This window comes from Homo sapiens, chromosome 19 (genome assembly GCF_000001405.40).
Source record: "Homo sapiens chromosome 19, GRCh38.p14 Primary Assembly".
Taxonomy (NCBI): Eukaryota; Metazoa; Chordata; class Mammalia; order Primates; family Hominidae; genus Homo; species Homo sapiens.
This window is the reverse complement of record NC_000019.10, coordinates 4977530-5003954: the sequence shown is the minus strand read 5'-3', so window position 1 is coordinate 5003954 and position 26425 is coordinate 4977530. Positions and strand designations below refer to the sequence as shown.

General features: G+C 51.9%; 1 protein-coding gene across 16 annotated transcripts in view, besides 6 other annotated features; it reads right to left on the bottom strand.

Annotated features, from left to right (window-relative positions):
• Nucleotides 1-26425, bottom strand: part of KDM4B (lysine demethylase 4B) — a 184486-nt gene that overhangs the window by 149644 nt on the left and 8417 nt on the right. For 2 of the 16 annotated variants that reach the window (XM_017026503.2, XM_047438472.1), the window contains exon 1: nucleotides 2780-2898. The exons of 12 other annotated variants lie outside the window; for them this stretch is intronic. The gene's annotated coding sequence lies outside the window, so the exon portion shown is untranslated. Of the gene's footprint in view, nucleotides 1-2779; nucleotides 2899-7175; nucleotides 7939-14814; nucleotides 15391-26425 lie in introns of those variants that run through there. 2 more of the 16 variants (NM_001411148.1, XM_047438470.1) reach the window with 2 other exon arrangements.
• Nucleotides 2143-2437: an enhancer, noted in NCBI's record as "tiled region #13405; K562 Activating DNase matched - State 12:CtcfO". NCBI's record gives its function as "activates a minimal TATA promoter and a strong SV40 promoter by Sharpr-MPRA in K562 cells {active_cell/tissue: K562}" and the evidence as "EXISTENCE:reporter gene assay evidence [ECO:0000049][PMID:27701403]".
• Nucleotides 13186-13685: an enhancer, noted in NCBI's record as "H3K4me1 hESC enhancer chr19:4990281-4990780 (GRCh37/hg19 assembly coordinates)". NCBI's record gives its function as "activates a minimal SCP1, AML or CMV promoter by ChIP-STARR-seq in naive and primed H9 embryonic stem cells {active_cell/tissue: H9 hESC(naive and primed)}" and the evidence as "EXISTENCE:reporter gene assay evidence [ECO:0000049][PMID:30033119]".
• Nucleotides 13686-14187: an enhancer, noted in NCBI's record as "H3K4me1 hESC enhancer chr19:4989779-4990280 (GRCh37/hg19 assembly coordinates)". NCBI's record gives its function as "activates a minimal SCP1, AML or CMV promoter by ChIP-STARR-seq in naive and primed H9 embryonic stem cells {active_cell/tissue: H9 hESC(naive and primed)}" and the evidence as "EXISTENCE:reporter gene assay evidence [ECO:0000049][PMID:30033119]".
• Nucleotides 14404-14908: an enhancer, noted in NCBI's record as "H3K27ac-H3K4me1 hESC enhancer chr19:4989058-4989562 (GRCh37/hg19 assembly coordinates)". NCBI's record gives its function as "activates a minimal SCP1, AML or CMV promoter by ChIP-STARR-seq in naive H9 embryonic stem cells {active_cell/tissue: H9 hESC(naive)}" and the evidence as "EXISTENCE:reporter gene assay evidence [ECO:0000049][PMID:30033119]".
• Nucleotides 14909-15414: an enhancer, noted in NCBI's record as "H3K27ac-H3K4me1 hESC enhancer chr19:4988552-4989057 (GRCh37/hg19 assembly coordinates)". NCBI's record gives its function as "activates a minimal SCP1, AML or CMV promoter by ChIP-STARR-seq in primed H9 embryonic stem cells {active_cell/tissue: H9 hESC(primed)}" and the evidence as "EXISTENCE:reporter gene assay evidence [ECO:0000049][PMID:30033119]".
• Nucleotides 19095-20021: an enhancer, noted in NCBI's record as "H3K4me1 hESC enhancer chr19:4983945-4984871 (GRCh37/hg19 assembly coordinates)". NCBI's record gives its function as "activates a minimal SCP1, AML or CMV promoter by ChIP-STARR-seq in naive H9 embryonic stem cells {active_cell/tissue: H9 hESC(naive)}" and the evidence as "EXISTENCE:reporter gene assay evidence [ECO:0000049][PMID:30033119]".

Genomic DNA, 26425 nt, shown 5'->3' with positions numbered 1-26425 from the left:
GCATCCGACCGCGGCCAACAACCCACGGGGCAGACCTGCTGTGGAGAGACGAGGAAGACCAAACACAGACTCAGGCATATACGGAGACTGTGTGGGGGACAGAGGGGGTTCCCCAAGGCAGTGGGGTAAGCAGGGACCTTTTTTTTAGACGGGGTCTCACTCTCGTCACCCAGGCTGGAGGGCAGTGGCACAATCTCAGCTCACTACAACCTCCACCTCCCGGGTTCAAGCGATTCTCCTAACTCAGCCTCCCAAGTAGCTGGGATTACAGGCGCCCACCACCATGCCCAGCTAATTTTTGTATTTTTAGTAGAGACGGGGTTTCACCATATTGGCCAGGCTGGTCTCAAATTCCTGACCTCTAGGGATCCACCCACCTCACCCTCCCAAAGTGCTAGGATTACAGGTGTGAGCCACTGCACCTGGCCAAGCAGGGATTTATTTATTTGTTTGTTTGTTTGTTTGTTTATTTTGAGACAGAGTCTTGCTCTTGTTGCCCAGGCTGGAGTGCAATGGCACGATCTTGGCTCACCACAACCTCCGCCTCCTGGGTTCAAGCAATCCTCCTTCCTCAGCCTCCCGAGAAGCTGGGATTACAGGCATGCGCCACCACACCCAGCTAATTTTTATTAGAGATGGGGTTTCTCCATGTTAGTCAGGCTGGTCTCGAACTCCTGACCTCAGGTGATCCGCCCGCCTGGGCCCAAAGTGCTATGATCACAGGCGTGAGCCACCATGCCCGGCCCAAGCAGGGATTTTTTTAATCAATGGAGCTGGGACAACAGGGTAGCCATTCAGAAAACAATAAAGTGAGGTCCCCACCTCGCACCTCTGCGAGAATGAACGGCGGTGGAATCGGAACGTGAGTGTAAAGGAGGAATCATACGAGAGCCAGAAAAAAACGAGGTGAACTCCTCTCCAGCCCCAGAGACGGAAAGGGCTTTACAACCACAGCTCTAATCAAGAGGCAAAGAAAGTAAAGACTCAGAAATGTGACTTTTGTTGAGACAGGGTCTCGCTCTGTCACTCAGGCTGGAGTACAGTGGTGTGATCATAGCTCATGGCAGCCTTGAACTCCTGGGCTCAAGCAATCCTCCCACCTCAGCCTCCTGAGTAGGTGGGACCACAGGCATACACCACTATGCCTGGCTAACTTTTTTTTCTTTTTTGTAGAGATGGGGGTCTCACCATGTTGCCCAGGCTGGTCTCAAACTCCTGGGCTCAAGTGATCCTCCCACAGTCCGGGGACTACAGGTGTAAGCCACCGTGCCCAGCTAACTATTTTTTTTAATTAGCCAGGTGTGGCTAATTACAGGCTCACACCTGTAATTTCAGCTGCTTGGGAGGCCAAGGCAGGAAGACTGCTTGAGCCCAGGAGTTTGAGACCAGCGTGGGCAACATAGTAAGACCTCGTCTTGAAAGAAAGAGAATAAAGAAAAAGAAAGTGAAAAGAAAGAAAGAAGAAAGGAAAGAAAGAAGGAAAGGAAAGGAAAGGAAAGGAGAGAGAAAGGGGAGAGAAAGTAGAGAGAAAGGAGAGAGAAAGGAGAGAGAAAGGAAAGGAAAGGAGAAAGAAAAAAAAACACTCTGCAGGGCAAAAGAAAACCAAACACCAATAACAAAGCCAAAAGGCAATCCAGAGACCGAGGGAAAATATTTGCACTGGGTGAGGTGACTCAAGCCTATAATCCCGGCATTTTGGGAGGCCAAGGCCGGTGAATCACCTGAGGTCAGGATTTTGAGACCAGCCTGACCAACATGGCGAAACCCTATCTCTACTAAAAATATAAAAATTAGCTGGACATGGTGGCACACGCCTGTAATCCCAGCTACTCAGGAGGCTGAGGCAGGAGAATTGCTTGAACCTGGGAGGCGGAGGTTGCAATGAGCTGAGATTGTGCCACTGCACTCCAGCCTGGGCAACAGAACAAGATTCAGTCTCAAAAAGAAAAAAAAAGAAAAAAAAAACACAAAGGAAATATTTGCAATACATACCACAGAGGTTCACATATTGGAGTTTCAAGTTAGGAGGAAAGAGTCAAATATCCAATAGAAAAAAGCAAGTGAAAAGTATGAAGATACAGCTCACAGAAAAGATACAAAAACAGCTTTAATCACAACAAGATGTTCATCACCACTCATAACTACAGGAACAATCATTAGAACTCCACTGAGCCCCCATTTCTCAGCACTGGGATTGGCAAGTATTTAGACATGAAACAGCACACCCTGCTGGCGAGGCAGGGGAACCAGGCCCTCCCAGACGACACAGCTGGCGGAACAGGACTTACATGGGTGTTTAGCATAAAAGCTAACAAAATATGTCTGCACTTCTGACCCAGCAATCCCACTCACGAAAATCTACCATGAAGATACCCTTCCACCAATGTGAAAATCCATATACACCAGGTTACTCACGGCAGCACAGTTCGCCACCGTAAGAGCCTGGAAACAAACTAAATATCTACATGCAGGAGAGACACTGGGTGGACTTCGCTGCATCCCTGCAAGGAACACTACGCAGCTGTGCAGGGGAGCCAGGAAGAGCTCCCTGGCCAATGAAGTGGTTTCCAGGACACACAGCTAAATGAACAGAGCACAGCGCCACTTTCACGTGCGAAAGAAAAGGTATAAGGCCAGGCGCCGTGGCTCACACCTGTAATTCCAGCACTTTGGGAGCCCACTTGAGCCCGGGAGTTTGAGACCAGCCTGGGCAACATAGCAAGACCCTGTATTTCTCTATAAAAACATAAAAAAATTAGCTTGGCATGGTGGCACACACCTGTGGTCTCAGCTAAGTCAGGAGGCCGAAGTGGCAGGATCACTTGAACCCAGGAGGTGAAGGCTGCAACGAGCTGTGATTACACCACTGCACTCCAGCCTGGGCAACAGAGAAAGACTCTGTCTCAAAAAAAAAAAAGAAGGGGACATTAAAAAAATACACATCTGCTTCTTTGAGCTGCCCTGAAAGGCTGAGCCAGAGACTAACGAGATTCCTTTCCTGCAGGGGGTGGGCAGGAATGGGGAGGAGAAAGGGGGTTGATGACACTTCTCCGCCCATGCCTTTTTGTGCAGTCCTGACTCTGGAACCATGCTAATGTTCTATACACTACATCACGTATGTTGAATCAAGAAATCAATCAACAGGCAACTAAAATCAGCAAGAGTTGAGGAGGAAAATCCTTGTCCAAAACACAAACAAAAACAAGTAAACCAAACCTTATTTCAAGCAAACAATATAACCACAGTAAAGAAGGGGGAAAAAAATGGAAGAACTAATCCATGTAAACTTTTAAATACAGTTTGGGACTGTATGTCTTTGAGACAAACAAAAAAGAAATATTGGCTCCTACTCTGGAGGATGCTTTTATGGTAGGCAGTGGGTGGATTCTCACTGTCAGCCAAGGGAGTTACAAATAACGATGGGGAAAGATGGTAAGGGACCCTGGGTGTGGGGCTGGAACTAGAGGTTTCAGTGTGAACTCATGGGCATTAATGGGGATGGATGGATGGATGGATGGATGAATAAATGGATGTACGGATGGATGGATGGATGGACAGACAGATGGATGGATAGGTGAATGAACAGATGGACGGTTGGATGGATGGATAGGTGAATGGGTGGGTGGATGGATGGATGGACAGACGGACAGATGGATCGGTGAATGAATAGATGGATGGACGGATATGTGAATGGGTGGATGGATGGGTGGGTGGATGGATAGGTGGGTGGATGGGTGGGTGGGTGGATGGATGGTAGATAGGTGGGTGGGTGGGTGGGTGGACAGGTGGATAGATGGATAGGTGAGTAAATGGGTGGATAGGTGGGTGGCTGGATGGATGGATAGATGGATAGGTTGGTAGGTGGGTGGGTGGGTGGACAGGTGGATAGATGGATAGGTGAGTAAATGGGATTGGTGGGTGGATGGATGGATGGATAGATGGATAGGTTGGTGGGTGGGTGGGTGGACAGGGGGATAGATGGATAGGTGAGTAAATGGGTGGATGGATGGATAGGTGGGTGGGTGGGTCGGTGTGTGGACAGGTGGATAGATGGATAGGTGAGTAAATGGGTGGATGCGTGGGTGGATGGATGGATGGATAGATGGATAGGTGGGTGGGTCGGTGGGTGGGTGGACGGGTGGATAGATGGATAGGTGAGTAAATGGGTAGATGGGTGGGTGGGTGGATGGATGGATGGATAGATGGATAGATGGACAGGTGGGTGGGTGGGTGGACAGGTGGATAGATGGATAGGTGAGTAAATGGGTGGATGGGTGGGTGGATAGATGGATGCAGAGATGGATACAAATGTCAGGTGTCTGTATGTATACATGTCTATTCATATATACACACACAATGTACATGTGTGTAAGATGTACACACATCTACTTCCCAGCTCTGTCTGATTAGAGGACCTAGAAGCAAAGACACCCCAGTAGCACTGAGCACACGGAGCACCTGGATCTCGGTTTCTAAGTGGCATTCTCCACAAACAGAACCAGGGCTCCTTGGAGATTGGTCAATCCCAGGGATCGACCATGAGGGAGACTACAGGATGAGCTGGGAGCATCCCAGTGCCAAAAAGTTGGGAAGTGCTCCGAGCAGGGTGGGGACATGTCAAATGGCCCAGGAGCCAGCTCGACCGGGCTCTTTCTGGAAAAATGTGGAGCCATCTGAGCAACCAGATCAATCGTGATGGCAGTGGATTATAACCCATTGAACAAAGTAAGAATCCACAAGCCCACCCTGATAGAAATAAGAAAGGAACAAGGGACAGCTGTCCTGTATAGGAGACATCAACTAATAAACGCAGAAGAAATGACAGGACTAGACAACCACCATGCGGCAAGAATCAATGTCTGCTGAAACAAGCAGTGAACGTTTGAGGAGTAACGGCGTGTTTACACTGGCCTCCCCATGAGATGCAAATGGTACAATAGTAATGTTAGGGTGGGGAAACCTGGCGGGCCCACCTTAACCAAAGGATCAAGGTTAACATCACCAGAAATGGGACAAATTAGCATGATGGGCCTCCTGATAGGGCGCACTAAGAAGGACCCAATGTCGGCTCCAGGACTTTCCTGCCAAAAGTGTGTGGCCTGAATCTGGTCCTGAGGAACCATCAGACAAACCCACCTGGGGGACATTTAACAGAATGACGGCCTGTACGCCCCCAAAACATCAGAGTCAGAGAACCCAGAGACAGACTCAGGAGCAGCCCCAGGTTAAAAGGAACCGACAGGCAAGACGACTGAGTGCTGTGTTGATCCTGGATTCTCTTCTGACTCTTAAGGACATTACTGCAAAGTCAGAATAGGGTCTGTAGATTTGATTTTATCAGCGTGAATTTCTGATTTTGATAACTTGATACAAAAATTCCTTGTCTGGGGGAAATACACACTGAAGGAGAGGTAAAGGGATGTCATGTCTGCCACACACTGACAGTTTAGGAAGAAGTGCAGGGAAAGAGAATGAGAGGAAAGGATTAAAGGCAAAGCAGGGAATGTCGCCACATGGGGGTCCTGGGTGAAAGGTGTCTGGGAATTCTTCCTATTATTCTTGCAATTTTGGGGTCAGTCTGAAATTATGTCCAAAAAAATTTTATTAAAACAAAAACAACAAAAAAGGGAAGTGTTTGGGTGAAGAGCCAAGAAAACCCAGGACAGACACAGGCTTGGTCACCTGGCACTTCCTTCTGGAACCTTCCACACAAAGGGAGGTGCAGCCCACCTACATCTTTGCCAGGCACTCAACAGGGTCTGGGGAGCACTACGGGCAAAGGCCACCTGTCCGTCCACTGCCCCCAGGCGAGGGGATGGAGCCACACAGAGCGGGGATGCCAGCAGACTTGGGCCCCCAAGCAGGCTCCCACCCAGTCAGGAGGCAACCCCTGGCAGACACAAGAGGACCAGTCCATGTTTCACACTTATTTATAGGTATCTGATGTTCCATAATTAACCATTTAAAACCATAATCATTAACTAAATAATCTATGCATCTACAAACCTGCCTTGTAATTTCATGGTTGTCTGGGAGCCCCAAGGCCTGGGTGGAGAGGGACAGCAGTGCAGAGTGGCACGTCCGCCCCTCACTCCTGGCCCTGGGGCCCGCCAGGTCTAGCAACCTCCTGGAGTGTCACCGTCTTTCTGGGGCCTGCGGCCTTTGGAACAGACCAGACAGTAAGGATGAAGAGGCTGATGACGAGGTCCTGGAGCCCCCATGCAGGCATGACTCTGAGTGCCTGGCATGGCTGACCAGCCCACCAACTCGAGGAGGCAGGGATGACTCTGAGTGCCTGGCATGGCTGACCAGCCCACCAACCGGAGGAGGCAGGGACAGCTATTCCAGCCCATTTCCCAGGAGAGGAAACTGAGGCACAGGCAGGAAGTGGCCTACCCTAGATCACACAGCTAACAACCGGGGAGCCAAGGAGGCAGCTGCAGACCTGAGCGCCACCCACTGGGTACGCAGGCCCAGCCGGCTGGGGTGGACATGTTGGAAACACAAAGCCCAGCCCACCTCGCCGCCCCCAGATGGCAGGTCCTCATGAACCACAGAAGGACACAGTGGAAGCCAGGGGCCGACGCTCCTGGACTCCTAGGGCGGGGGAAACCTCTCTAAGTGGGACACAAACTCGGAAGCCCTAAAGGGAAGGACACATCAGGCAACTTGAAAACATCCTATGTAACAACGCACCAAAAATAAAACTAAAGATAAGTGAGGAACTGAGAAAAAAGGTAACACAATAGGGTGGTAATAGCCCGGGTACAGAAAGGGTTATTCCAAAACAGGGGTTCTCCACCAAGGCTGATCGTGCCCCCAGAGGATGCCTTCCGATGTCTAGGGACATTTATGGCTGTCACGACTGAGGGTGGTGCTGGCGTGGAGGGGGTGGAGGCCAGGGATGCAAAGAACCCACTCACCCAGACCCACACTGCCCAACCATGCAGCTGTGCCCACAGGGAACACTGGGAGGTCTGGGGCTGTCTGTGGTTGTCACGACTAGGGGGTGCTCCTGGCATGCAGTGGGTGGAGGCCAGGGCTGCTGCTCAGCACCCTGCAGGGCCCAGGACAGCCCCACCCCAGAGAAGGACCCAGCTCAAGATAGCAAGAGTGCCGAATTTGAGAAGCTTTGGGTTTGTTTTTTTGTTTTTAAGTCAAGAAAAAAAACATACCAAATCAACAAGCAGGCAAAGGCTATGAACTGGCAACTCAAACAAGAACCAGCACGAGGAGACAGGTTATAAGGAGGGGCAGAGACCAGAGCTGTCCCCAACACAATGACTGTCCCACAATGACTGTGCAGGGGCACAAATTCAGACCACCTCAGGGGACAGCTGAGCAACACGCTTCAAAATAAACTCCAGCCTGGACAACATGGCGAGACCGCGTCACTACTAAAAAAAAAAAAAAATTAGCCAGATGTGGTAGTGCACACATGTGGCCCCAGCAACTTGGGAGGCTGAGGCAAGAGATCGCTTGAGCCCAGGGGGCTGAGGCTGCAAGGAGCTGTGATCATGCCACTGCACTCCAGCCTGGATGACAGAGCAGGTCCCCCTCTCAAAAACATAAAAATAAAACAGGCACACACACTCTGAGCAACCCCACCTAGAAGGGCTGGCAGCAAGGATGTGGCCAGCAGCATTGTTTAAAAGAGAAAAAAGTAGTTCGGTGCAGTAGCTCACGCCTATAATCCCAACGCTTTGGGAGGCTGAGGTAGGCTGATCACCTGAGGTCAGGAGTTTGAGACCAGCCTGGCCAACATGGAGAAACCCCATCTCTACCAAAAATACAAAAATTAGCCAGGCGTCGTGGCACATGCCTGTAATCCCAGCTACTCAGGAGTCTGAGGCAGGAGAATCACTTGAACTGGGAGGAGGAGGCTGCGGTGAGCTGAGATCACACCACTGCAGGCCAGCCTGGGCGACAGAGCGAGACACTGTCTAAAAAGAAAGAAAGAGAGAGAGAAAAGTAAGTGCTCATTAGTAGGAGAATGGGTAAGTAAATTACACATATCTGTACCAAAATAAAGGACTGCAGAGCCACTGAGAAGCAAAGATCTACGCGTGACACCGCGGCGACCAGGAGCGCCAACACCAAGACAGGCCATTTCAGGGTCGCAGGATGCAGGGACATTTGTAGTTCACACGCCAACCATACTTACATATCCCTTTTATAAAAACAACGAGTATTTAAAGGGAGCCAGCCTGGGATACTGTGCTGGGACCCAAGGTCCCTCCAGCAGCTCACTGGCTGCTCTGCGTAGAGGATGAGAGTGCCTCTCAGGAAAGGGATGCATATTCCTGGGGTTGAATGATCATCAAAACGATGATGGCACCCACTCTCTACCAATTCAAATTAAAAATGCCAAGCCTCGGCCAGGCACAGAGGATCATGCCTGTAATCCTAGCACTTTGGGAGGCCAAGGTAGGCAGATCGGTTGAGGTCAGGAGTTCGAGACCAGCCTGGCCAACATGGAGAAACTCCGTCTCTACTAAAAACACAAAAATTAGCTGGATGTGGTGGCGGGTGCCTGTAATCCCAGCTACTCAGGAGGCTGAGGCAGGAGAATCGCTTGAACCCAGGATTCTTGCTCTGTTGCCCAGAGTAAGAATCCATCTCAAAAAAAAAAGACCTGCCTCCAAGTGGGTGAGACCCACTGACACAGATTTGGAGTCTTGTGTCAGGAACAGGGCTACAAACTCATCAGTTTCAGTGGTGCAAGGGAGATGAAAAGAAGCCAGAAACACAAGGAGAGGGATGACAGGGGAGCTGGTGTCCTTCCCAAGCCCTGCTCCCGAGACAGTGGGGTCTCCAAATGGTTTTGATGATCACAGGTCCTAAGAGGGCTTTGATGTGTTCATTTCACTGAATGTGAGGAGGAATGAGCAAAAGAAGAGGCACCATTCAGGCAAACAAACACATCAGCATCCTTGAAAACCCAAGCCATTGAACTGATTAAGTGAAATCCTGATTGCTAAGCACAGTTCAAAAGGAGTAAGCACAGCCTTGCTTCAAATGATATTGGGGATCTGAAGTCGATTCTGAGAAGTTAAGATGCCTATAAGACCGACAGCAACTACTAAGAAAATACTTCCAAAAATATAGTGCTAACAATCATGAAAAGAATTAAAATATTACACTAGAAAATATTCACTTAATGCAAAAGAAAACATCAAAGAAGGAATAAAGGAACAAAATAGAAAACAAAAAGGGAAATGGCAGGTACAAATCCAACTATATCAATAACGGCATTAAATATGAATGGATTAAACATCCAATCAAAAGACAGAAATTGTCAGACTGGATTTAAAAAACAAGATCCAACTATATACTATACTATATACTGTCTTCAGGGGACACTTTTTTTTTTTTTTTTTTTTTTTTTTGAGAGACAGAGTTTCACTCTTGTTGCCCAGGCTGGAGTGCAATGGCATGATCTTGGCTCACTGCAATCTCCACCTCCCGGGTTCAAGCGATTCTCCTGCCTCAGCCTCCTGAGTAGCTGGGACTACAGGCATGCGCCACCACGCATGTGTATTTTTAGTAGAGACAAGGTTTCTCCATGTTGGTCAGCCTGGTCTCAAACTCCCAACCTCAGGTGATCCACCCGCCTCGGCCTCCCAAAGTGCTGAGATTACAGGCGTGAGCCACTGCGCCCAGCCAGGGGACACTCTTTAGATTCAAAGATACGAACAGGCTGAAAATAGGCTGGGCACAGTGGCTCACACCTGTAATCCCAACACTTCGGGAGGCCTAGGCAGGCAAACTGCTTGAGCCCAGGAGTTCGAGATCAGCTTAGGCAATGTGGCAAAACCCGTCTCTACAGAAAAAACACAAAAATTAGCCAGGTATGGTGGTGCATGCCGGGAGGTCGAAACCCTGTCTCAAAAAAGACAAAACAACAATAACAAAAAAAAAAAAAAAAAAAAAACAGGCTGAAAATATAAAAATTAAACGTGTAACATGCAAACAGGAACCATAAGAAAGCTGGAGTGGCTACACTAACATCAGACAAAATAGACTTAAAAAAAAATGTGCCAGGTGTGGTATAATGACTCATGCCTGTAATCCAAGCACTTCAGGAGGCCAAGGTGGGAGGATCACTTGAGTTCAGGAGTTTGACACCAGCCTGGGCAACATAGTAAGACCTCACCTCTGTTAAAATTCAAAAAAATTAGCCAGGCGTGGCAACACACACCTGTAGTCCCAGCTACTTAGGATGCTGAGGCAGGAGGATTACTTGAGCCCAGGAGGCTGAGGCTGCAATGAGCCATGATCGCAACACTGCACTCCAGACTGGGCAAAAGTGCAAGACTCCATCTCAAAAAAAAAACAAACAAAAAAGTTACTAGAGATAAAGAGGGACATTTTATAATGATAAAAAGGTGAATCCATTAGCAAGATACAGCAATTATAAACATATATGCATCTAATAACAGAGCCCCAAAATACATGAAGCAAAAAATGACAGAAATAAAAGGAGAAGTAATTCAACAATAGCTGGAGATGTCAATACCTTCACTTTCTTTTTTTTTTTTCCCTTGAGATGGAGTCTCACTCTGTCGCCCAGGCTGGAGGGTAGTGGGGTGATCTCAGCTCACTGCAACCTCTGCCTCCCGGGTTCAAGCGATTCTGGTGCCTCAGCCTCCCGAGTAGCTGGAATACAGGCATGCGCCACCACACTCGGCTAATTTTTGTGTTTTTAGTAGAGACAGGGTTTTGCCTTGTTGGCCAGGCTGGTCTCAAACTGCTGACCTCAGGTGATCCACTCACCTCGGCCTCCCAAAGTGCTGAGATTACAGGCATGAGCCCCCATGCCCGGCTCATACCCTCACTTTCAATAAAAGATAACACAACTAGCAGAAGAGCAACAAAGAGAGAGACTTGAGCACTATAAGCCAAAAGAATCTATAGAACATATTCTCTTCTCAGTACATATGGAACATTCTCCAGGATAAACCATATGTTAGTCCATAAAACAAGCCTCATTAAATTGAAAAGAATTCAGATCATCCAAAGTAAGTTCTCCAACCACAATGGAAATTAGAAATCAACAACAGAAAGTAATTTGGGGATTCACAAGTACATGGAAATTAACCAACATACTCCTAAATAATCACAGGGTTGAACAGGAAGAAAATATTAGAAAATATTTTGAGGTGAATGAAAATGAACTCACAACAAAGTAAAACTTATAGGATGGCCAGACACAGTGGCTCATGCCTGTAATCCCAGCACTTTGGGAGGCCAAGGTGAGAGGAATGCTTGAACCCAGGAGTACGAGACCAGCCTGGGGAAATATAGTGAGACCTCCTCTCCACAAAATTATTTTTTAAATTAGCCAGGGATAGTAGCACATGCCTCTGGTCCCAGCTACTTGGTGGGCTGAGGTGGGAGGATTGCTTGAGCTCGGGAGGTCAAGGCTGCAGTGATTTGTGACTGCACCACTGCACTCCAGTCTGGGCAACAGAGCAAGATCCTATCGCAAGGAAAAAAAAAAAGTACAGGTTGCAGCTAAAGCAGTACTTAGAGGGAAATTTATAATTGCCTATACAGTTTTTAAAAAGAGGAAGATCTCAAATATTAATTTAAGCATCTCCCTTAAGACACTGGAAAAAGAAGAGCACACGGAAACTAAGGCAGATGGAGCACAGTACGTAACAAAGATAACGAGCAAAAATAAACAAAATAGAGACAGCCAATGAAACCAAAAGTCGGTCCCTTGAAAAGACCAGTAAAACTGTCGAAGGTAAATGTCTTCGTGACATTTTGTTATCTGCACAGATTCCTGGAACCGCCACTGCAATCAGATACAGGGCTGTTCCGTCAACACAAAGGAACTCACTCTGCTTCCACTCTGTCGCCCCCAGGCCCTGGCAACCTTGGATCTTGTCCTCCATCTCTGGAGAACTCAAATTGCTAAAATCGGGAATGAAAGATGGGACCTTACCACTGCCACCCGTCTCACAGAAATAAGCAGAATGAGAAAACAACACCCGTATGGAGAACTACTGAGTAATAAAAGAAAGTAACTACTGATACACACAACAACTTCGACAGATTGCAAGCGAAAAAACCCAATCCCAAGAGGTTAAATACGCTGTGATTCCATCTACATAACATTCTCAAAAGGGCAAGGTTACAGAGATGCAGAGATCCTCAGCCGTCGCCAGGGCCTGGGGGTGACAGAAGGGAGAAGCAGAGCGTTCCTTTGTGTTGACAGAACAGTTCTGTATCTTGATTGCAATGGTGGTTCCTGGAATCTGTGCAGGTAACAGAATGTCGCAAAGACTCTACCAAAAGAATGAGCCAGTGCTAACACTGAGGACGCCTGAGGAAGGTCTGAAGCCACAGTGTCCTGTGTCAATTTCCTAGTTTTAACGGGACACTAAAGTTATGTAAAATGTTACCACTGGAGACAGCAGGGTGAAGCCTAGGGAAATCTCTTTATTATTTTTGCAACACCTTGGCAGTCTATAATTCATTCTTATTTTTGCTTTTGTAGCGACAGGGTCTCACTGTGTTGCCCAGGCTGGTCTCGAACTACTGGACTCAAGTGATCCTCCCACCTCTGCCTCCCAAAGTGCCTGGATGACAGGTGTGAGCCACCACACCCAGCCTCTGTAATTCTTTAAAAATTAAAAGTTAACAAAAATAATATGAGGGCTATTTCACCACAGATGGGGGTAGGGCAGGGGGGGTTGCCATGGGTTGATGGTTTTGGGGCTGGGTGAGGGGCCTGGGGGGCTCGTTATTCCATGTTGTCTACCTTTCTGTGTAGTCAAATTCTCCATAACAGTGTTTTTATTTTTATTTTTTGCTTTACTATTTTTTGAGACCGAGTCTCACTCTGTCGCCCAGGCAGGAGTGCAGCGGCACAATCTCAGCTCACTGCATCCTCCGCCTCCTGGGTTCAAGCAATTCTCCTGTCCCCTCCCTAGTAGCTGGGACTACAGGCGCCCGCCATCACGCCCAGCTAATTTTTGTATTTTTAGTAAAGACGAGGTTTCACCATATTGGTCAGGCTGGTCTCGAACTCCTGATCTCAGGTGGTCCGCCCACCTCAGACTCCCAAAGTGCTGGGATTATAGGCGTGAGCCATCATACCCGGCCCATAATAAAGTTTTTTAAAAAAAATAATAAAGGGAACCAACACAAGAATAGCACTAAGAAGGGCCTTATCCATCCGGGTTTATAAATATCCTTCAAAATGCACAGTGTTAGAATTACGGGCCATCTCATCGAATATTCTCCCCAAAACAAAGGCCGGAGAGGCGACCAGAACTAGTTCAGTGTTTGTACAACACAGATCTAAAAGAGACACTGGATTACCCCCAGGCCAACTTCCATAATGACAGTATTAAAACACGGCATGTGAGCTTTGCCCAATACTCATGACCTCTAGATGAGCTCTCCACGGCCCCAGGATCCCAGGCACAGCCCTCCCATCTCCTCGCCACGCTGCCTTCAGACTCAGGTAACAGATGCATCCTGCCAGAGGCCACCTGCCCCAGGCCCTCATTCCAGTACAGAAACCTGCACTGCTAAGTCAGGGCATGTCTGCCTCGGGCTCCACACAAGTGTCTCCCTTTCTAAGTCCCTGTTTTTGGGTGGAAGTGAACTGCTCTAACACCAAGGTTCTGACCCTCTTTTTGTGGGGCGGGGACAGGGTCTCACTCTTTTGCCCAGGCTGGAGCACACTGGTGCAATCGTGGCTCACTGCAGCCTCAACCTCCTGGGTTCAAGCGATCCTTCTGCCTCAGCCTCCCAAGTAGCTGGGATTACAGGTGCCACCTCCATGCTCAGCTAAGCTTTTAATTTTTTTGTAGAGACTGGGTCTCATTATGTTGCCCAGCCTGGTCTTGAACTCCTGGCCTCAAGTGATCCTCCCACCTCAGCCCCCCAAAGCGCTTGGATGACAGGCATAAGCCACCCACTGCACCTGGCCCAAACTGTTTCTAAAGGAAATTAACAAGGGATGACATGAAAAGGAAGACTGAGTCAGACACCGTGGCTCACGCCTATAATCCCAGCACTCGGAGAGGCCGAGGCGAGTGGATCACCTGAAGTCAGGAGTTCAAGACCAGCCTGGTGAACAAGGTGAAACCCTATCTCTACTAAAAATGCAAAAATTAGCCGGGCACAGTGGCGCATGCCTGTAATCACAGCTACTTAGGAGGCTGAGGCAGGAGAATCGCTTGAACCCAGAAGGCAGAGGTTGCAGTGAGCCAAAATCGTGCCCTTGCACTCCAGCCTGGACAACAAAGTGAAACTCCATCTCACAAAAAAAAAAGAAGAAGAAGAAGAAGAAGACTGGGCATGGTGGCTCATGCCTGTAATCCGAGCACTTTGGGAGGCTGAGGCAGGCGGATCACCTGAGGTCAGGAGTTCAAGACTAGCCTGGCCAACATGGTAAAACCCTGTCTCTACTAATAATACAAAAAAATTAGCTGGGCGTGGTGGTGCATGCCTGTAATCCCAGCTACTGGGGGAGGCTGAGGCAGGAGAATCGCTTGAACCTGGGAGACGGAGGTTACAGTGAGCCAAGATCGTGCCACTGCACTCCAGCCTGGGCGACAGAGCAAGACTCTGTCTCAAAACAAACAAACAAACAAAAAAAAACAAAGAAAAAGAAACAGAAACAGAAAAAAGAAAGGAAGACTGGCAGACACAGCCAACAGCACGTGTGAACACGGCCCCCCTGCCCCACCATCCTTAGGCAAAGAACCAGCACTCTGCAAGCGGCTTCCACCCCAGGCCACAGGGCCCTTCACAGAGCACCCTGCCAAGCCCTCCACGGCAGCGACTCACCTCTACCACTTCAGCACTGTCCAGACAGCCACCCTCCCGTCCTCTCATCACAGACAAGGAAGCGGAGGCAAGGGACCGGCCCAGTGAGACTGTGAAATACATTTTGTCCTGTTTCCTGGCCTACGACTCCCCCAGATCCTCGGAATTCTCCAGTGTGCTAATGAGGTGACTAAGGGCTTGGCAGCCCCTCGGGAGCTGAGGGAATAGGGCTGCTCACTGAAAAGACCCAGGCTGGACGGGAGGGGAGGGGCATGTGGCTGAAGGCTGACTTGATCACCCAGGCCAATGCAGTGAGGTCACCCAAGCCTCTGCGAGGAAGCTGAGGTAAAACCCGGAGGACTGGGATGGAAGCTTCCCCACAGATGAATGCGTGGAGGTTCCTGGAGACGTCACAGCCCGGGGAGAGCACGGAACCCTCTGTGCCCCTTCCCACATCCCTCACCCTACACATGTCTTCATCTGCCTCCTTTGTAAAATCCTTTCTAATAAGCTGGTAAACGTAAGTAACAGCTCCCCTGAGTTTTGAGAGGTGCATTAGCAAATTAAGCTCAAAGAAGGGTTCATGAGGCCGGGCACGGTGGCTCATGCCTGTAATCCCAGCACTTTGGGAAGCCGAGGCGGGTGGATCACGAGGTCAGGAGATTGAGACCATCCTGGCTAACATGGTGAAACCCCGTCTCTACTAAAAATACAAAAAATTAGCCGGGCGTGGTGGCGGGCACCTGTAGTCCCAGCTACTCCGGAGGCTGAGGCAGGAGAATGGCGTGAACCCAGGAGGCGGAGCTTGCAGTGAGCCTAGATCGCACCACTGCACTCCAGCCTGGGAAACACAACAAGACTCCGTCTCAAAAAAGAAAAAAAAAGAAGGGTTCATGAGAAGGCTGGTTTCCAGCGCGTCCAGCAGAAGCTCAGGACACAGCCTGGGGCTTGTGACTGGCATGGGCCGTGGGGTTAGGTACGTGGGGAGGAGCCCGCAGCCTGTCCTGCCCGATGCAGCCCCCAGGTAGGAGTGAACTGAACGGAGGGCCCCAGCTCCTGCCCCTGCACCGCTTTGCTCGCGTGTGCTGGAAGGGATCTGTGACTGCTCTGACAGCCTGGGAGAAACTGAGTTTGTTATTCCCACGTTCTCAGGCCCAAGACCACATCGCTGTGCAGGAAGTGGCCGAGCTGGGGGCGTGAAACCAGCTGCTGCACCCTGGGAGTAGCAGTGATCTCCCCACTCCACATTCAACCCACCAGCCAGGCCTATCCTGTCTACCTCCAAAAGCCACCCCCAGTCCAGGCCGCAGCCCCAGCCCAGACCCCCTTCTCCTGAGCCATTGCCATGAATCACCTGGGCGACGCCTGGAGTTTCCCGACAGGTCCCCTGCTTTCACTCCTGACAGCCACCAGAGAGGTCTTTAAAACACATATACTGGCCGGGCGCAGTGGCTCACGCCCATCATCCCAGCACTTTGGGAGGCCTGACAGCAGAAGCATTGCCATCCCGGACAAGCCCCTCATTCTAAAAGTTCACCTTAATAAAAGACCGCTAAATCCAAAGGGTATCAGCCTAACAGCTAAGATCAGCATGACCATAAACCACAAATAGCATCTCCAGCCAGAAACATCGCAAACTCCTCCCCAACCAGAGACATGCCAGCCCCGAGATAACCCCCCTCCGGCCGGGAAGATGTCTGCCCCAAGATAACCTCCCCTCCTCCCAGACAGATTCCAGCCCTGCCATAAACTTCTCCACACACAGAAACGTTCCAAGCTTGTGATAAGCCCCTTCACCCTAAAACCAATATATACTCTTAGTCTATAAGAGAAAGCGCTCCTGACCGCAATCGGCCAAGAGCGCCTCTCAGGTTTTAACTAAAGAAAACTTGCCTTTAACTGCCAGCTGCATTTTGTGTTTCTTTCCTCTTTCTTTAACTCTTACAAGGCCGAGGAGAGCAGATCACCTGAGGTCAGGAGTTTGAGACCAGACTGGGCAACATGGCGAAACCCCATCTCTACTAAAAATATAAAAATTAGCCAGGCGTAGTGGCGGGCGCCTGTGATCCCAGCTACTCAGGAGGCTGAGGCAGGAGAATCGCTTGAACCCAGTAGGCAGAGGTTGCAGTGAGCCGAGAGATTGTGCCACTACGCTCCAGCCTAGGCGACAGAGCAAGACTCCGTCTCACAAAAAAAAAAATAAAATAAAATAAAAATAAAAAAAGGCATAAACCTCTGACAGCAGTGCCTCCAGCCTTTGCCCTCACGGCTGACTAGGCAGCAGGCACTGCTGCTCCGGCCTCTGTGCCCCTGCAGTCCTCTCTGCTCCTGCCAGCTCAGTGAGCTGCGCCTCGTTCCGCCTTGGGGCCTCCGCACGTGCTGCCTGCACTTCTTTGGAGCACTCTTGTCCCAAATCCTGCAAAGGTGGGCAGGTGTGAGTCGCTCAGAGGTCTCTGACTGAATGTCACCTGCTGGGAGAGGCCCTCCCTGTTCCCCCGGCTAAAGCAGCGCCGCCCCTCGAGGGCCCTAATCCAGGCTCTCTCCAGTCCTCACGTCTTCCTCGCCGGCCCCTCAGCACCTGGCCTGGCACAGTAAACATGGAGACGCTGGAGGACACAGCCTCCCGAGCCCTCCTCTGTGCCCGCCGACCTGCCATGGCAGGGGGCAGGTGCCTTCGCTGTCTTCTGCTATCAGGGACAGCAGAGTCAGCTGACTGTGAAGAGCACCCCTGAAGCTTCTACTTGGCAGCCAGGACCAAGAGTCCCCACGGCCAGCGCTCAGTGGCCATCACCCGTTTACTCCGCCATCGCCCCACAGGGAGGCACACGGAGACACTGCCCCAAGTCAGTGGCACTGACAGAGTTCACGAGCTCGGGTCCCACGCCAGGCTCTGGCTCTAGACTCCAAACCAAGCGCTGCCCCGAATGTGGCTCGTGAAGCCCCTGTGAGGCCGCAGACATGCTGGCCCTTGGCGAGCGCCATGGCACACGGGGCACATCAGGACCCCATCACAGCCCCCACGGCAGGTCAGACCAGGACCAAGTCCTGAATCCATCACTACTCCCCCGGGGCACCAGAGAGGGGACCAATCCAAGCCGGGCTGGGGAGCTCCTTCCCAAGATGATCTCTTTCAGCTCAGGCTAAAAGAGAAGCTCAGGCTGAGAAGAGATCCGATTTCTCTTCTGGGCTGTTTCAGGCCCAGACAGCGAGGGAAAAACCGGGAGACGGCCGGTGCAGAACACACAGAGGTGGAGGGCTGGGCGCCGGGGAGGCTTCCTGAGACACACACAGCCTTGGCCAGAGACAGACAGTCCCAATCCGCGCTCCCAGGCTGCGCTCCTGGAACCGGTGCTGAGGCTCAGAGCAAAACCATCCGCCCACAGGATGAGCGGTCCTGGCCCAACGCTGGGGGCAGTGAAGGCGGGTCTGGGTTCCAGCACCAGCTCATCCGCTCACCATCCAGGCTTCCACTGCACATTCGGCCCCCAAAGCCTCCTGCCATGCTCACACCCGCCTCTCACCCGGCACAGCACGCGGGGCCAGATCCCTTAATTCCATCCTCACCACCCTCGGGCTCCAAGCCTCCCATGGCAGCCCCAGCCTGCACAGCAGGATCCTCTGCCTGTCACCCAGCAGCATCACAGGTCTCCACTTGGGAATCCCAGCCTCACAGAGCTAGAACATTCTACCACCTCTAAACCAGCCGCCTGGAGCCCACGGAGGGCCCCTCCCAAACATCCACATGGATGGAGCAGAGACCTCGGAAGCTCACTGGAGATGACGGCAGCTTGTATTGTTTTGTTTCCACTTCACTGTCATTGCTGATTTTTTTTTTTAAGAGACGGAGTCTCGCTCTGTTGCCCAGGCTGGAGCGCAATGGCGCGATCTCGGCTCACTGCAACCTCCACTTCACAGGCTCAAGAGATTCTCCTGCCTCAGCCTCCCGAGTAGCTGGGACTGCGGGCGTGCACCACCATGCTGGGCTAATTTTTGGATTTTTAGTAGAGAAGGGGTTTCACCATGTTGGCCAGGCTGGTCTCAAACTCCTGACCTCAAGGTGATCTGCCCGCCTTGGCCTCCCAAAGTGCTAGGATTACAGGCGGGAGCCACCGTGCCCAGCCTGTCATTGCTAATTTTTATACCATAAAATAAATTATTTTTCTAATGAACATCCCTCTAGGAAACTTGTTAGGGTAACACCCACTGTGACCCAGCAGATCCCGAAGGCTGCAGCCCTCCCTTTGGCTAAAGGCCAAATTAATTAGTACAGGGAGACCTCGGGTTTCACGGAGCAGGTGCCAGACCCCCAGGTACATTAGTAACTCCTGGGCAGTGGCATCTGGTACCCTGCGAAGTGGGGGTTACAGCAGGGACACCTCTGTCCGAGCCAGGGGACAGCCCAAGGGCACAAAATGCAACCAGATCCTTCTCACCAAGAGGAGAGTGTTTGCAAGACCCACAGACACACCCCAAGCCCTCCCGAGGGCCCCAGCGGCATCATGCAGCAGAGGGGCATGTTCTCTGGATCTGTCAGTCCCCAACACACTCCAAGTTCACCGGAGCAGAAAACCTGACGAGGCGTACGGAACAGGCCGGAACAGGAGAGACGCGGAGTCCTGGTCTTGGGGTCAACGCTGCCTCGGGTCCAGCTTCCCCCAGAAACCCCCACGCCTGCTTCCTGGCCCATAAAACCCCGGCCAACCCACCTGGCTGCCCCATTATAATAAAGAGGCCGCAAAAACTATTATTTTCAAGTTGCTTTATGATCACTTCCACGGCTCCTTAACTTCCTTTCCAGCACAAACACGAAGAGCAGCATAAACCCTAAGCTGTCTTGGAATGGAAAAAGATTTTAGAAACTTCTAGTGCAGCACCTCTATTCACAGTCAAGAGCAGAAACAAGCCCAGAGAAAAATCATTCCTGTGACCTCCCGGGGCCCAACCTGGCCAGCGCCACTCTGGATTGGGGCCTCAGCCTCCGCTCGGTGGATGCTGGCCTGGAGCCTTCCCTGGGATGAGGCCGCCCGGGGCACTGCAGGGTGCTGAGCAGTGTCCTTGCCCTCCACCCACCCCACGCCAGGAGCACTCCTAAATCCTGACCATCACAAATGTCCCCAGCTGTGGCCAGGTGTCCCTTAAGAGACAGAATTGCCCCTGGGGTGAGAACTACTTCACCAAGGGCTTTTCGCGTGGTAATTCAGTTAACCTCACCCAGCCTTGAAGCGGGACCTGCAGAGCCACCCCCACTTTGGAAATAAAGACACAGACCCAGGAGAGGTGGATCTGAGCCCAGCAGGCTACGTGCATGGGTAGCAGGTCTCCGGGTGTCCATCCTCCCTGCTGCGAATCCTCCCGCAATCCTGCCCTGATAGCTCAAGCCCTTTGAAGCCGCCTGTGGCTATAGGATGTTATTCCTGGGCGGTGCTGATCCACAAGTCTCTCTTCTGGGCTTTCCTACAGCCAAAGAAGCATTCCAACTTCCTGCCATTCTCTTCCCGGAAACACCTCCTCAGTGCCAAGCGCCTCCTAAGCCCCACCAGCCCTGCGCCTCCCCACCAGCTGCGATGCCAGAGGCGCTGCCCAGGCTGGGCCGCCAGGACCCCTTGGCCCCCAGGACCAGTCCACGGTTCAGTGCTCCCTGGCAAAGGCGAGAGACTGTGGGCGAGAGCCCACTGGGAAGATAGGCCAGGACCACCGCCAGACAGCCTAGCTCTTCTTCAGCCGCACCTGTCGCAGCGTGTCCTGCCATTGCTGGTGAATGTCAGGTGTGTCTCATCTCTCCAGCCAGACACCATCAGAGCCATAAGTCCTGCCTGGGATAGGCGGGGGCAGGATTGGGAGGGTGGGAGGAAGGAGCGTGGGCCCTGGTCCACTAAGCACCAGGACCCCATCTATAGCACCAGGCTGGCATCACGCTCAGTGCATCCGGGGCCAGGGCCCTCCCCAAATGATCAACCACGTAGGGCCAGCTCTCAGGGGAAATACACAATGAATGTCAAAGACAGCACCCAAAAAAAAAAAAAAAAGAAAAGAAAAAGCAGTGTGAAACATCTCACCAACAGTTTTGAAGATGATGATTACATGCTGAAATGATAAAACTGGGGGTATACTGGGTTCAATACAATACACTGTAATAATTAATTTCCCCCATTTCTCTTCACCTTTTAACTCAGCTACCAGAAAATTCAGACACACGGGCTTGTTCTGCATCCTCACTGGACAGCGCTGCCTTAAAACATACATCACTTTTAGGCCAGGTGCAGTGACTCACACCTGTCATCCCAGCATTTTCAGAGGCCAAGGCAGGCAGATCACGAGGTCAGGAGTTTGAGACCAGCCTGGCCAACACAGTGAAACTCTGTCTCTACTAAAAATACAAAAATTAGCTGGGTGTGGTGGCACGCGCCTGTAGTCCCAGCTACTCAGGAGGCTGAGACAGGAGAATCGCTTGAACCCGGGAGGTGGAGGTTGCAGTGAGCCGAGATCTCGCCACTGCACTCCAGCCTGGTTGACACAGTGAGACTCCGCCACAAAAAAAGAAAGAGAGAAAGAGAGAGAGAGAGAGAGAGAACATCACTTTTGGTTATACAGACAAGCCATTAAAAACATAGAAATAAAAATAATTTTAAATTTTTTTAAAAAAAGGAAATACAACATTTTACATATACATCCAGGTTTTCTTCTAGAGGCTTTTTTTTTTTTTTTTTTTGAGACGGAGTCTTGCTCTTGTCACCCAGGCTGGAGCGCAGTGGTGCGATCTTGGCTCACTGCAACCTCCGCCTCTCAGGTTCAAGAGATTCTTATACCTCAGCCTCCTGAGTAGCTGGGATTACAGGCATGTGCCACTGCGTCTGGCTTTTTTTTTTTTTGGAGACAGAATCTCACTGTGCTGCCCAGGCTGGAGTACAGTGGTGCAATCTTGGCTCACTGCAGCCTCCATCTCCCAGGTTCAAGCGATTCTCCTGCCTCAGCCTCCAAGTAGCTGGGATTACAGGCCTGCACCAACACACCAGGCTAATTTTGTGTATTTTTTAGTAGAGACGGGGTTTTGCCATGTTGGCCAGGCTGGTCTCAAACTCCTGACCTCAGGTGATCTGCCCACCTCAGCCTCCCAAAGTGCTGGGATGACAGGCATGAGCCACTGCACCTGGCTCTTCTAGAGGTTTTGTAATCGTTTTAGTAACATGTTCTCATCTCTGCTACATGTGGGGTTGGCTTCTGGCCATGGTGTGAGGCAGGGGTCCACCTTCACCACATGACACTTGGTAGTGTTTAGTTACGTGACCGCCCCCTGCCATGGGGTCTTCCCATGTTCATCAGCAGCCCCTGGGGTACTGATGGGGCACCCCAGGTAACCCACATCCTCTGTCAGGGGAGAGCAGGTGACAGTCCCCAGGCACATCACTGTCCCCACAGGGAGAGCACTGCAGAGCAGGTGGGAAGAGGTGGGGCTTGGCACTGGGCTGACTGTACAGCACCGCCGGTGCCTGGCAGTGTCACCTGCTCCCCTGGAGAACCCACCTGCACTCCCAAGGGGCCCGGCGTGGTGGGGGGGGCTCCCACTCACCCCTTTAACCTCCTGGGGGGACGTCCAGGTGGAGGCTGCTGGGCCCCAGGGGCACATTTAGAACCTGATGGCCACCTCCTAAGGCTCACAACCCTGTCAGGGCTGGGACCAGGCCCCGGACCAGGAAAGGGAAGTGACCCAGGGAGCAGCGTGCTCTCCAACCCCAGGCTGGATTCGCGGGAGCAGCTCTGGGGAAGAAAGGCCCTGGCATCTTCTCACAAGCCCCTCAGGGAGGCCGGCACAGCTAACCAGACAGCGGGGTGACACCAAAAACAGGACGAGGGGGACAGGACAGCCGTCGGGCCCTGGTGTGGTGGACTCAGGGGTCCTGCTCACCAGGGGTGACCTTACAGGACACAGCAAAGGGCAAGTCAGAGCTGTGGTCAGCTGGGGCCACGCTGCCCCATGGAGCGGAGACACAGGGGCCCTGTGGCTGCACAGAGAGGTCCCTGCCAGGGCCCCACTGGCTGAGGCACGCCAGCTCAGGCTGAGAGAAGAGGCCCGTGGCGCGGACTCGCCACTAATGACCTGGAGCCTAGACCCTGTGGCCTCACAGGGTACCTCTGCACCCCTGCAGGCCCGCCGGGCCACTGCACCTCAAAGCCTAGCCGCAGCCCAGCATCCGCCAAGCTGACCCCGCCCACCCCAGCCCCACAAATGGTTTCTATGCTGTGTCTGCCCCGGGGCCATCTCGGCCTGTATTCTGCATGGTGCAGCACAGGAATCCCTGAGCTCTGCCACAGACTGGGGAGAGGATGGGGCTGAAAAAATGAGAACAACTTAAATGCCCACTGAGATGAATGGAAAACAAAACAGGACACCCCCCGCACAGGGGAATAGGATGCAGCCAGGTAAAGAGACAAAGTGGGCCGGGCGCGGTGGCTCACGCCTGTCATCCCAGCACTTTGGGAGGCCGAGGCAGGCAGATGACTTGAGGCCAGGAGTTCGAGACCAGCCTGGCCATGTAACATGGTGAAACCCCATCTCTACTAAAAATACAAAAATTAGCCGGGTGTGGTGGCAGGTGCCTGTAATCCCAGCTACTCAGGAGGCTGAGGCAGGAGAATCACTTGAACCCAGGAGGCGGAGGTTGAGGTGAGCTGAGATCATGCCACTGCACTCCAGCCTGGGTGGCAGAGTAAGACTCCATCTCAAAAAAAAAAAAAAAAAAAAGAAAGAAAAGGGACAAGGCTCTGACACATGCCATGCGTGGATACACCTTGAGAATATCACGCCCACTGAGAGAAGCCAGACACAACAGGCCACACAGTGTGTGACTCCATCTCTATGAAATGTTCAGGACAGGCCAATCCAGAGACAGGAAAGAGATGTGTGGGTACCAGCAGATGGGGGAGGGGATGGATAGTGACCACTGGTGGAGGCAGAGTGCCTTTGTGTAATAATAGAAAGGTTCTAACATTTGATAGTGGTGACGGTTGCACAACTGTGTCAATGTACTAAAAACCACTAAATTGTATCTTTTTTTTTTTGAGAAAAGGTCTTGCTCTGTCACCCAGGCTGGAGTGCAGTGGCATGATCTCAGCTCACTGCAGCCTCCGCCTCCTGGGTTCAAGCGATTCTCATGCCCCAGCCTCCCAAGTAGCTGGGACTACAGGCGTGCACCACTATGCCTGGCTAATTCTTTTGTATTGTTAGTAGAGATGGGGTTTCACCATTTTGCCCAGGCTGGTCTCAAACTCCTGACCTCAAGTGATCTGCCCACCTCAGCCTCCCAAAGTGCTAGGATTGCAGGCATGAGCCGCTGTGCCCAGCCTGAATTGTATACTTTAAGAAGATGAATTTCATAGTATGTGAATGATAGCTCCATAAAAATATATATTTTTTAAAATGGCAGGATCATTTCTAAGGGAGGCTGTCCTAGAAAATTCAGAACCTGGCCAGCACACTGACGCCAATAGTTGGGCAACTGTGAGGTGGCCCTCCCTGGTGACAGGAATGGCTTCTAGACTTGCCAACTAGACTCTGAGCTCCTCGAGGACGGGGCTGCCTGCTGCCTCATGTCCCCATGATCACACTGGTTCGGGTAACACCTCCAGAGACACCCCAGAGCCTGGGTGCCCAGCTGCCTCCAGCATGCCAGGTGGGCTTCACCCTGACCCCATCCCCTCTCAGATCTCCCAGGCCACACCCCCAAGTTCCTCTCGCTACTTCCTCTGCTCTCAAGCTCACAGTCATCTGTGACAGTTCCCACAATGGACAAGGCTCTGCGCAAACAGCAGTTCCTATGGGAAGCCTCCCGGCGCACTGCACTGCCCTGTGCTTCCCTGGGCTTGGTTTTTTGGGGTTTTTTTGAGACATGGTCTTGCTCTGTTGCCCAGGCTGGAGTGCAGTGGTGTAATCATGGCTCACTGTAGGCTCAAACTCCTGGGCTCAAGCAATCCTCCCGCCTCAGCCTCCCGAGTAGCTGGGACTACAGACATAGCCACCACATCTGGCAAATTTTTTCTAGTTTTTGTAGAGATGGGGTCTTGCCATGTTGCCCTTGCTGGTCTTGAACTCCTGGCCTCCACCGATCCTCCCACCTCAGCCTCCCACAGTGCTGGGTTACAGCCATCCGGCCTCCAGGCTTGGTTTCTACCCCTCTTGGCAGTTATTCTCCATCTCCTTCCACCAAGAGGCCCTGCGGGCAGGAGACACTGGTCATCTGGCCACCCTGCGCCCCTGACCAGGCACGCATGAACTTGACAACTCTCACGCGGAGCTGGACAATGCAAACCCACTCAGAGGGACCCAGGGTGTGGCTACAGTGACAGCCATGCTGCCCGAGCTCCCAGTGACCACGCACCAGCCTGGGCCTGACCACACCCGCTCGCTGCAGCCCATCCCTCCTCCCGCGCCCCTGAGCCAGCGACAGGCACAGAATTGCACAGGAGCTGTTTTGATGAACGGCAGCTGCCCTTCAGGCTCTAGCTGAGAAGCAGGCTCTGCTCTGCCTTTGGGGTACGCAGGACACCCGTGGCTAGAGGGGCCAAAAAAATTCTGTGGCTTCCACCAATTCCAGCCCAGACAGACAGTAACATGAGATGCCTTATGTTCTTTTTTTTTTTTTTTTTTTTTTTTTTTTTTTGAGACAGAGTCTCACTCCATTGTGCAGGCTGGAGTGCAGTGGCGTGATCTCAGCTCACTGCAACCTCCACCTCCCAGGTTCAAGCGATTCTCCTCCCTCAGCCTCCCGAGTAGCTGGGATTACAGGCACGTGCCACCGCGCCCGGCTAAGTTTTGCATTTTTAGTAGAGATGGGGTTTCACCACGTTGGCCAGGCTGGTCTTGAACTCCTGACCCCAGGTGATCCACCCTCCTCAGCCTCCCAAAGTGCTGGGATGACAGGCGTGAGCCACTGTGCCTGGCCAAGATGCCTTATGTTCTAGGGGTGTCAAGAGAACGACTTCCTCCGCCTCGTCCCCCCTTCCTGGGGGAAGCAGTTGGAATAGAGCAGGGAGCAGGAGTTGAAATTCCAGAGGCTTGACTCAAGTGCATGCTAGGGACGGCAATCTTCTCTCTCTCCTGAGCAAGACAATCAGATCCACGCGGCCCGACTGCAAGACAGGAGGCCCGCTCTGCCTACAGCCAACACTGTCTGACAGATGGGATTTTAGGAGAGTATGGAGATGCTGCAGGAAGGGGACAACAGCAACATGACGCGACTGTCCCGGTCCAGCAGCCTGGCTTGGGTCCTGCTCGCATCCCAGGGAGCCCAGGGTGGCGCCCCCTCACTCAGGGCACCGAGCCAGAGTGTCAAGGGCTGTCCCCAAGGGCGCCGAGGCTGGCCAGCTTCCAGGCTGCTGCCCAGACATGCTGCAGTCCTGAGTCCCGGCTGAGGGCACAGCCCATTTCCATCCCGCCATGATCAAGGGGTCCACAGCACCCGTGGGTAGTTTCAGGCTGGCTCTGTGGTCAAAAGGAACCCCTGGGACCCATCACACAAAGAGCGATTCTGAATCCACGGCCGGCTAATCTCATACAAATCGTCTGTCTCCACGCTCTCTCCCTGGAGACTAGGGCAGCCGCAAAAACGCAAACAGGCCCACCGCCACTGCCGGCGGC